The sequence below is a fragment of the Homo sapiens genome, chromosome 3 (genome assembly GCF_000001405.40).
Source record: "Homo sapiens chromosome 3, GRCh38.p14 Primary Assembly".
Lineage (NCBI taxonomy): Eukaryota > Metazoa > Chordata > Mammalia > Primates > Hominidae > Homo > Homo sapiens.
In genome coordinates this window covers 187,422,155-187,433,602 of record NC_000003.12, presented here as the reverse complement: position 1 = coordinate 187,433,602, position 11,448 = coordinate 187,422,155, and the positions used below count along the sequence as shown (strand labels likewise).

The 11,448-nt window shown below is 37.9% G+C and overlaps 1 non-coding gene across 1 annotated transcript; it reads right to left on the bottom strand.

The window, feature by feature from the left end:
• Positions 1 to 10,183: 10,183 nt before the first annotated feature.
• LOC124905594 (small nucleolar RNA U13) lies at positions 10,184 to 10,288 on the bottom strand. The gene has a single exon (XR_007096314.1). It is a non-coding gene; the product is annotated as a small nucleolar RNA U13 (small nucleolar RNA).
• Between the last annotated feature and the right edge of the window lie 1,160 nt (positions 10,289 to 11,448).

Genomic DNA, 11,448 nt, shown 5'->3' with positions numbered 1-11,448 from the left:
ACTTAAGTCTTTTAAAATTTCTCTCAGGAATATTTTATAGTTTTCAGTATAGAGGTGTGCACATATTGCATTACATTTATCCCTAAGGATTTTATGCTTTGAAAATATTGTTGTAAATAAATTTTCTCTAATTTAAAATGCTTTAATTTTAAAATTTTATTTTAAATTGTTTTGTATGGAAACACAATTGGTTTTTCTATTGATCATGTATCCTGCAACCTTGCTAACTTTATTCATTAGCTTTTGTACTTTCAAAGGATTACTTAGGATTCTCTCCATTTGCCAATAAAGATAGTTTAACTCTTGTTTTTCTCTTTCTTTCTTTCCTTTCTTTCTTTCTTTTCTTTCTTTTCTCTTTCTTTCTTTCTTCTTTTTTTTTTTTTTGAGACAGGATCTCATTCTGTCACTCAGGCTAGAGTGCAATGGCATGATCTTGGCTCACTGTAGCTGGGATCACAGGTATGTGCCACCACACCCAGCTAATTTTTTTAATTTTATTTTTGTAGAGATAAGGTTTTGCCATGGTGCCCAGACTGGTCTTGAACTCCTGGACTCAAGCTATCCACCTGCCTTGGCCTCCCAAAGCTCTAGGATTACAGGCATGAGCCACTGCACCCTGCCAAGTCTTCTTTTTCAATCTGTATGCTTGGCATCTCTTTCTTTCTTTTTTTCTTTCTCTTTCTTCTCCCCTCTCCCGCTTCCTCCCTTTCCTATCCTCTTTCTCCTCCTTCTTCTTGTTTTAAGACACTGCTTAGGAACTCCAGTTCAACTCTGAATACAAGCAAAGTGGACATTTTGATTTTGTCCCCCAAAGCATGTGTTGGAAACTAAATCCCTAATGTAACAGGGTTAAGAGGTGGGACCTTTAAGAGGTGATTAGGCCATGAGGGTGGAGCCTTCATGAATGGACTAAGGCTGTTATCTTGGGAGTAGGTTTATTATAAAAGGTTGAATTTGGCCCTGTCTTTTTCTCCCTCTCTTGCCCTTCACCTTCTACCATGGGAAGATGCAGCACAAAGGCCCTTGCAAGATGTAGCTGCCCACCCCCCCAACCCCACCCCACTCCAGTCTTGGACTTCCCAGCCTTAAGAATTATGAAAAATAAATCTCTCTTCATCATGGACAAAGTACTGACTAAGATGATGAAGATAAGCCCCACTTGGTTTTGATATATTATTCTTTTTAAGATTTGTTAGATTTTATTTAATGATGTACTTTTAAGGAAATTCATGTCTACATTTATAAGAGATATTGGTTTGTGGTTTTCTTATAATGCGTCTGATTTTGGAAACAAGATTATCATAATATGTGTTGAGAAGTCCTGTCTCTTCTTTTTTCTGGAGAATCTGTTATAAAACAATCTCATTTCTTCTCTAAACATTTGATGAAATTGATGAGTAAAGTCACATAGACTTGAAATTTTCTTTTTGGAAATCTTTCTAGTAACTTTTGATTTCATTAACAGATATTGGGCTATTTAGATTTTTTCTTGTTTCTAATTAGTTTTGGTAATTTGTATCTCAAAAAATTTGCCAGTTTTGTCTAAATTACTTAATTTACTGTCATTAAAGTATTAAGATTTTTTAAATGTCTGTAGATAATAAAATAGTGTTCCAATGTTAGTAATTTGTGTTTTTTCTTTTCTTCTCTTTGTAATCAAGCAAGGCTATGTGCTTGAGGTATATTAATCTTATTAATCTTTTCATAGTAGTAGCTTTGCTTTTTATTAATTTTCTATATTATTTGTTCTTTTTCTATTTAGTTGATTTCTGTTTTTATCTTTTCTACGTCCTTCCTTCTGTTTATTATGGCTTCAATCTGCTCTTCTTTCTTCTAAGTTCTTAAGAAGTAAACATACATTGCTTTTAAACCTTCTCCCATAAGAACCATAAATTTCCCCATAAGAACTATTTTAACTACATCCCTGCAATTTTGATCTGTTGTATTTTCATTATTATTAAGTTCAAAATATTTGCTGACTTCCTTTATGTTTTCTTATTTGACATATTTTGTATTTAAACATATGTTGTTTAATTTCAAATTATTGAAGATTTTCCATACATATTTCTGTTGTGGTTTCCAATTTAATTCCATTATGGACAAAAATATACTCCACTCTAATTCCGGCAAGCACAGGAAACTGGTGGGTTCCTGGGAAGCTGTGAGACCCATGCAGACCTAACCCTGGGTATGGGCCACCCATAAGGGCGGGGGAGTACAGCCCGCTAAAACCTCCTCAGAATAAAGAAAAGGAAGGCACAGCACCAACTACTAAACGTGGCAACACCCAGCGCCCGGGAACAGGCATGGAGAGGGGGTCATCTCCCAACGCCCGGTACACTGTTATGGACACAGTAGTGGATCTTCCTTCTGGGGAGCAGTGTGTATACTCACAGAGTGTTCTTCGTTCTTTTCTTGGTTGCTCCACTCTGCTGAAGGTGATCTCAAGATGCTTGGGTTTACAGAGAGGGCAAGGGCCAACTTCCGCTGCCTACACACAGTGGCAGGCTTCTCACAATGGAAGACAGACAAATTGTGGAGTTGCCTGCCCTGGACCGGACTGGGGGAAGAGGCCCTGCCCCGAGCCCATTTTTGTGGTTGCCCTCAGAGGGGGTCTCATTACTTCTAGCTCAGGAAAAGGAGCTGGTGCACACATCCCCCACTCCCACTGCTTTCCCCAAGACCTCCGCACATCCCAACACTCTCTTCCCACCTCTGCCCCCTGCTTCCTCCATCAAGATAGTCGTTTCCACCAGACAGCAGCCTACCTGAGGGCCAGCGGGCTCTTACTCTTAAGCGCCTCCTACTGGTCTTCAGCCTGAACTGAACCACCAAAATTAAAAACCTGCTACCAGAAAGGCTTAGTACTAGTCAATGAGATAAACTTCCTGACGCCTCTGCAACCTCAGCCCCATAAGATGTAGTGTGTTGTTGACTCATACATTCAATACATCACTACAAAAAGCAGCATATGAGAAAAACACCACACAGAAGCTATCCACAACCAAGGAACCCATACAATGCCTCGGTCCCCTGAAAGCACCCAGAAACAACACCGAATGATTATACATCACATTCATACACTAAAGGGAAACAAATTAAAAATTAAAAAGTGTCATCCAAACTCAAAATTAAGAAGTTACAGATCCCTCAGAAGAGAAAGAATAAGTGCAAGAACTCCAGCTGTACCAAAAGCCAGTGTCTTGACACCTCCAAAGGATCACATCAGCTCTCTAACAATAGATCTTAACCAAACTGAAAAGTTTGAAATGACAGATAAAGAATTCAAAATATGGATTGCAAGGAAACCCAACGAAATCCAAGTTGAAACCCAATACAAAGAAACAAACAAACAAAAAAACTACTCAGGGTATGAAAGATGAGATAATTATATTAAGAAAAAAACCACGTAGAACTCCTGCAACTGAAAAATTCACTAAAGGGGCCAGGTGTGGTGGCTAATGCCTATAATCTCAACACTTTGGGAGGCCAAGGTGGGATGGTCGTTTGAGTACAAGAGCTTGAGACCAGCCTGGGCAATATAGTGAGACCTCATCTCTGCACTAAAAAGAAAATAAAAAAATTAAAAACGAAAAATATTAATATATAAAAAAAGAAAAATTCACAAAGGAATTTCAAAATATAGTTAGAAGCTTTAACAATAGAATAGAACAAGCAAAACAAAGAATTTCAGAGCTTCAGGGCAAATCTTCTCAATTAACCCAGCCAGACAAAAATAAAGAAAAAATAATTTTTTAAAAATCAACAAAGCCTTCAAGAAATATGTGATTATGTAAAGTGACCAAACCTATGACTTATTGGCATTCCTGAGAGAGGAGAAGAAAAAACAAGCAACTTGGAAAACATATTTTAGGTGATAATTCAGGAAAATGTCTCCATCTTACTAGAGAGGCTGGCATCCAGATACAAGAAATTCAGAGAAAACCTGAACGATACTATACAAGATGGCCATGCCCAAGGCATATCATCATTGAACTCTCCAAGGTGAATGCAAAAGAAAAAAGTCTTAAGGGCAGCTGAAGAAAAGAAGCAAATTAGGAATAAAGGAAATCCCTATCAGACTAACAGCAGACTTCTCAGCAGAAATCTTACAAGCCAGAAGAGATAAGGAGCCTGTTTTTAGCCTCCTTAAATAAAAAAATGCCAGCCAAGAATTTCATATTCTGCCAAACTAAGCTTCAAAACAAAGAAGAAATAAAGTATTTCCCAGTCAAGCAAACCCTAAGAAAATTCATCTACAAACCATTGCTCAAGGAAATAAGAGAGGACAAAAACAAATGGAAAAACATTCCATCCTCAGGGATAGGAAGAATCAATATTGCAAAAATGGCCACACTGACCAAAGTAATTTATAGATTCAATGCTATTCCCATCAAAATACGAAAGGCATTCTTCACAGAATTAGAAAAAACTACTTCAAAATTCATACGGAACCAAAAAAGAGCCTAGATAGCCAAGTGAATCCTAAGCAAAAAGAACAAAGCTGGAGGCAACATGCTACCTGACTTCAAACTATACCACAAGGCTATGGTAACCAAAACAGCATGGTACCAAAACAGACATACAGACCAATGGAAAAGAATAGAGACATCAGAAATAAGACCACACATCTACAACCATCTGATCTTTGACAAACCTGACACAAACAAGCAATGGGGAAAGGATTCCCTATTTAACAAATGGTGCTGGGAAAACTGGCTAACAATATGCAGAAAACTGAAACTGGACCCTTTCCTTACACCTTATGTTAATATTAACCCAAGATGGTTACCCTCAAAGGGAAGCCCATCAGACTAACAGCGGATCTCTCGGCAGAAACCCTACAAGCCAGAAGAGAGTGGGGGCCAATATTCAACATTCTTAAAGAAAAGAATTTTCAACCCAGAATTTCATATCCTGCCAAACTAAGCTTCATGAGTTAAGGAGAAATAAAATCCTTTACAGACAAGCAAATGCTGAGAGATTTTGTCACCACCAGGCCTGCCCTAAAAGAGCTCCTGAAGGAAGAGCTAAACATGGAAAGGAACAACCGGTACCAGCCACTGCAAAATCATGCCAAAATGTAAAGACCATCGAGACTAGGAAGAAACTGCATCAACTAACGAGCAAAATAACCAGCTAACATCATAATGACAGGATCAAATTCACACATAACAATATTAACTTTCAATGTAAATGGACTAAATGCTCCAATTAAAAGACACAGACTGGCAAATTGGATAAAGAGTCAAGACCCATCAGTGTGCTGTATTCAGGAAACCCATCTCACGTGCAGAGACACACATAGGCTCAAAATAAAAGGATGGAGGAAGATCTACCAAGCAAATGGAAAACAAAAAAAGGCAGGGGTTGCAATCCTAGTCTCTGATAAAACAGACTTTAAACCAACAAAGATCAAAAGAGACAAAGAAGGCCATTACATAATGGTAAAGGGATCAATTCAACAAGAAGAGCTAACTATCCTAAATATATATGCACCCAATACAGGAGCACCCAGATTCATAAAGCAAGTCCTGAGTGACCTACAAAGAGACTTAGACTCCCACACATTAATAATGGGAGACTTTAACACCCCACTGTCAACATTAGACAGATCAACGAGACAGAAAGTCAACAAGGATACCCAGGAATTGAACTCAGCTCTGCACCAAGAGGACCTAATAGACATCTACAGAACTCTCCACCCCAAATCAACAGAATATACATTTTTTTCAGCACCACACCACACCTATTCCAAAATTGACCACATACTTGGAAGTAAAGCTCTCCTCAGCAAATGTAAAAGAACAGAAATTATAACAAACTATCTCTCAGACCTCAGTGCAATCAAACTAGAACTCAGGATTAAGAATCTCACTCAAAGCCACTCAACTACATGGAAACTGAACAACCTGCTCCTGAATGACTACTGGGTACATAACGAAATGAAGGCAGAAATAAAGATGTTCTTTGAAACCAACGAGAACAAAGACACAACATACCAGAATCTCTGGGACGCATTCAAAGCAGTGTGTAGAGGGAAATTTATAGCACTAAATGCCAACAAGAGAAAGCAGGAAAGATCCAAAATTGACACCCTAACATCACAATTAAAAGAACTAGAAAAGCAAGAGCAAACACATTCAAAAGCTAGCAGAAGGCAAGAAATAACTAAAATCAGAGCAGAACTGAAGGAAATAGAGACACAAAAAACCCTTCAAAAAATCAATGAATCCAGGAGCTGGTTTTTTGAAAGGATCAACAAAATTGATAGACCGCTAGCAAGACTAATAAAGAAAAAAAGAGAGGAGAATCAAATAGACACAATAAAAAATGATAAAGGGGATATCACCACCAATCCCACAGAAATACAAACTACCATCAGAGAATACTACAAACACCTCTACGCAAATAAACTAGAAAATCTAGAAGAAATGGATACATTCCTGGACACATACACTCTCCCAAGACTAAACCAGGAAGAAGTTGAATCTCTGAATAGACCAACAACAGGAGCTGAAATTGTGGCAATAATCAATAGCTTACCAACCAAAAAGAGTCCAGGACCAGATGGATTCACAGCCAAATTCTACCAGAGGTACAAGGAGGAACTGGTACCATTCCTTCTGAAACTATTCCAATCAATAGAAAAAGAGGGAATCCTCCCTAACTCATTTTATGAGGCCAGCATCATTCTGATACCAAAGCCGGGTAGAGACACAACCAAAAAAGAGAATTTTAGACCAATATCCTTGATGAACATTGATGCAAAAATCCTCAATAAAATACTGGCAAACCGAATCCAGCAGCACATCAAAAAGCTTATCCACCATGATCAAGTGGGCTTCATCCCTGGGATGCAAGGCTGGTTCAATATATGCAAATCAATAAATGTAATCCAGCATATAAACAGAGCCAAAGACAAAAACCACATGTTTATCTCAATAGATGCAGAAAAGGCCTTTGACAAAATTCAACAACCCTTCATGCTAAAAACTCTCAATAAATTAGGTATTGATGGGACGTATTTCAAAATAATAAGAGCTATCTATGACAAACCCACAGCCAATATCATACTGAATGGGCAAAAACTGGAAGCATTCCCTTTGAAAACTGGCACAAGACAGGGATGCCCTCTCTCACCGCTCCTATTCAACATAGTGTTGGAAGTTCTGGCCAGGGCAATTAGGCAGGAGAAGGAAATAAAGGGTATTCAATTAGGAAAAGAGGAAGTCAAATTGTCCCTGTTTGCAGATGACATGACTGTATATCTAGAAAACCCCATTGTCTCAGCCCAAAATCTCCTTAAGCTGATAAGCAACTTCAGCAAAGTCTCAGGATACAAAATCAATGTGCAAAAATCACAAGCATTCCTATACGCCAACAACAGACAAACAGAGAGCCAAATCATGAGTGAACTCCCATTCACAATTGCTTCAAAGAGTATAAAATACCTAGGAATCCAACTTACAAGGGATGTGAAGGACCTCTTCAAGGAGAACTACAAACCACTGCTCAAGGAAATAAAAGAGGATACAAACAAATGGAAGAACATTCCATGCTCATGGGTAGGAAGAATCAATATCGTGAAAATGGCCATACTGCCCAAGGTAATTTACAGATTCAATGCCATCCCCATCAAGCTACCAATGACTTTCTTCACAGAATTGGAAAAAACTACTTTAAAGTTCATATGGAAGCAAAAAAGAGCCCGCATCGCCAAGTCAATCCTAAGCCAAAAGAACAAAGCTGGAGGCATCACACTACCTGACTTCAAACTATACTACAAGGCTACAGTAACCAAAACAGCATGGTACTGGTACCAAAACAGAGATATAGATCAATGGAACAGAACAGAGCCCTCAGAAATAATGCCGCATACCTACAACTATCTGATCTTTGACAAACCTGAGAAAAACAAGCAATGGGGAAAGGATTCCCTATTTAATAAATGGTGCTGGGAAAACTGGCTAGCCATATGTAGAAAGCTGAAACTGGATCCCTTCCTTACACCTTATACAAAAATCAATTCAAGATGGATTAAAGACTTAAACGTTAGACCTAAAACCATAAAAACCCTAGAAGAAAACCTAGGCATTACCATTCAGGACATAGGCATGGGCAAGGACTTCATGTCTAAAACACCAAAAGCAATGGCAACAAAAGCCAAAATTGACAAATGGGATCTAATTAAACTAAAGGGCTTCTGCACAGCAAAAGAAACTACCATCAGAGTGAACAGGCAACCTACAAAATGGGAGAAAATTTTCGCAAGCTACTCATCTGACAAAGGGCTAATATCCAGAATCTACAATGAACTCAAACAAATTTACAAGAAAAAAACAAACAACCCCATCAAAAAGTGGGCGAAGGACATGAACAGACACTTCTCAAAAGAAGACATTTATGCAGCCAAAGAACACAGGAAAAAATGCTCACCATCACTGGCCATCAGAGAAATGCAAATCAAAACCACAATGAGATACCATCTCACACCAGTTAGAATGGCAATCATTAAAAAGTCAGGAAACAACAGGTGCTGGAGAGGATGTGGAGAAATAGGAACACTTTTACACTGTTGGTGGGACTGTAAACTAGTTCAACCACTGTGGAAGTCAGTGTGGCGATTCCTCAGGGATCTAGAACTAGAAATACCATTTGACCCAGCCATCCCATTACTGGGTGTATACCCAAAGGACTATAAATCATGCTGCTATAAAGACACATGCACACGTATGTTTATTGCGGCATTATTCACAATAGCAAAGACTTGGAACCAACCCAAATGTCCAACAATGATAGACTGGATTAAGAAAATGTGGCACATATACACCATGGAATACTATGCAGCCATAAAAAATGATGAGTTCATGTCCTTTGTAGGGACATGGATGAAATTGGAAATCATCATTCTCAGTAAACTATCGGAAGAACAAAAAACCAAACACCGCATATTCTCACTCATAGGTGGGAATTGAACAATGAGATCACATGGACACAGGAAGGGGAACATCACACTCTGGGGACTGTTGTGGGGTGGCAGGGGGGGAGGGATAGCAGTGGGAGATATACGTAATGCTAGATGACAAGTTAGTGGGTGCAGCACACCAGCATGGCACATGTATATGTATGTAACTAACCTGCACAATGTGCACATGTACCCTAAAACTTAAAGTATAATAATAAATAAATAAATAAATAAAAAATTACCTAAAAAAAAAGTACCAATTCATCAAGAAAACATAAAACATGATCCTAAGTGTGTATGCACCTAAATACACGACTTCTAAATACACTAAACAAAAACCGAGAGAATTGAAAGAAGGAAAAAAATCCACAATTACAGTTGGAAATTTCAAAACTCCTCTCTCAGGAATAAATAGAACAAGAAGGCAACATCTAATAAGGAGATAGTCTTGAGCAACACTATCAATCAACTTGCCCAATGGACATTTATAGAAGACTTTACCCAACAACTGCAGTATACAGGTTTTCTTCAAGTACACATGAAACATTTGTCAAGAGAAGCCATATGGTAAGCCAAAATCTGAGTGTTCATAAATTTTTAAATATATACAGAATATAAACATCTATTATATATACAAATATATAATAGGTATATAACTATAATATATATATAGAATATAGACATATAATAGATTATATATGTATCTATTTTATATATATAATAGATTATCTATATCATAGATTCCGGGGGTAATGTGCAGATTCGTTACATGGGCATATTGCATAATGCTGGGTTTGGGCTTCTAGTGAACCTATCACTGAAATAGTGAACATAGTATCCAGTAAGTAGTTTTTCCAACTCTTGCTCCCTCACTCCCTCTCCCCTTTTGGAGTCTCCAGTTTCTATTGCTTCTATCTTTATTTTCATGAGAACCTATTCTTTAGTTCTCACTTGTAAGTAAGAATATGCAGTATTTGATTTTCTGTTTCTGCATTAATTCACTTAGGATTATTGTCTCCAGCTCCATTCATGTTGCTGCAAAGGATGTGATTTTATTCATTTTTATGGCTATGTAGTATTCTATGGTGTACACGTATCACATTTTCTTTATCCAATACACCATTGATGGACACATAAGTTGATTCCATGCCTTTGTTATTGTGAATAGTGCTGTGATAAATATACGAGTGCAAGTGCCTTTTTTTTTCCTTTTCAGGTCAGATGGATAATGTGCTGATGTCATAACAAGATTCAGAGGGTGGCACATCTCACACATGAGCATGAACACCCAATCATCATGTTCATGAACTGCAAAAGGATCTGCAGGTATCTTTTTGAAAGAATCATTTCTTTTCCTTTAGGTAGATACCCAATAATGGGAATTGCTGGGTCGTATAGTAGATTGATCTATTTTTAGTTCTTTGAGAAATCTTCATATTGTTTTCCATAGGGGTGGAACTAATTTACATTCCCACCAACAGTGTATAAGTGTTCCTTTTTCTCTGCATCCTTACTAACATCTGTTATTTTTTGACTTTTTAATAATAGCCCTTCTAACTGGTGTGAGATGGTATCTCCTTGTGGTTTTAATTTGCATTTCTCTGATGATCAGTGATGTTAACATTTTTTCCATATATTTGTTGGCTGCTTGTATGTTTTTTTAAGAAGTGTCTGTTCATGTCCTTTGCCCAATTTTAATGTTTATTTCTTGCTGACTTACTAAAATTTCTTATAGATTGTGGATATTAGACCTTCTTTGGATGCATAGTTTGCAAATATTTTCTCCCATGTTGTAGGTTGCCTGTTTACTCTGTTGGTTGTTTCTTTTGCTGGGCAGAAGCTCTTTAGTTTAATTAAATCCCATTTGTCTATTTTTGTTTTTGTTGCATTTGCTTTTAATGTCTTAGCCATAAATTCTTTGGCTAGGCCAATGTCCAGAAGAGTATTTCCTAGATTTTATTCTAGCATTTTTATAGGTTGAGGTCTTACATTTAAGTCTTTAATCCATCTTGAGTTAATTTTTGCATATGGTGAGAAGTAGGGGTACAGTTTTATTCTTCTAAATATGGCTAGGCAATTTTCCAAGAACCATTTACTGAATAGGGTGTTGATATAGCTTGATATTTGTCTTTGCCAAAATATCATGTTGAAATGTAATCCTAGCCAGGCATGGTGGCTCATGCCTGTAATCTCAGCACTTTGGGAGGCCAAGGCAGGTGGATCATCTGAGGTCAGGAGTTCTAGGCTTGGCAAACATATTGAAACTCTGCCTCTACTAAAAATACAAAAAAAATTATCCAGGTGGAGTGGTGTGTGCCTGTAGTCCCAGCTACTCAGGAGGCTGAGGCAGGAGAATTGCTTGAACCTGGGAGGCAGGGGTTGCAGTGAGTCAAGATCCTGCCATTGCACTCCAGCATGGGCGAAAGAGCGAGGCTCCATCTCAAAACAAACAAAAGAAAGAAACATAATCCCCAGGATTG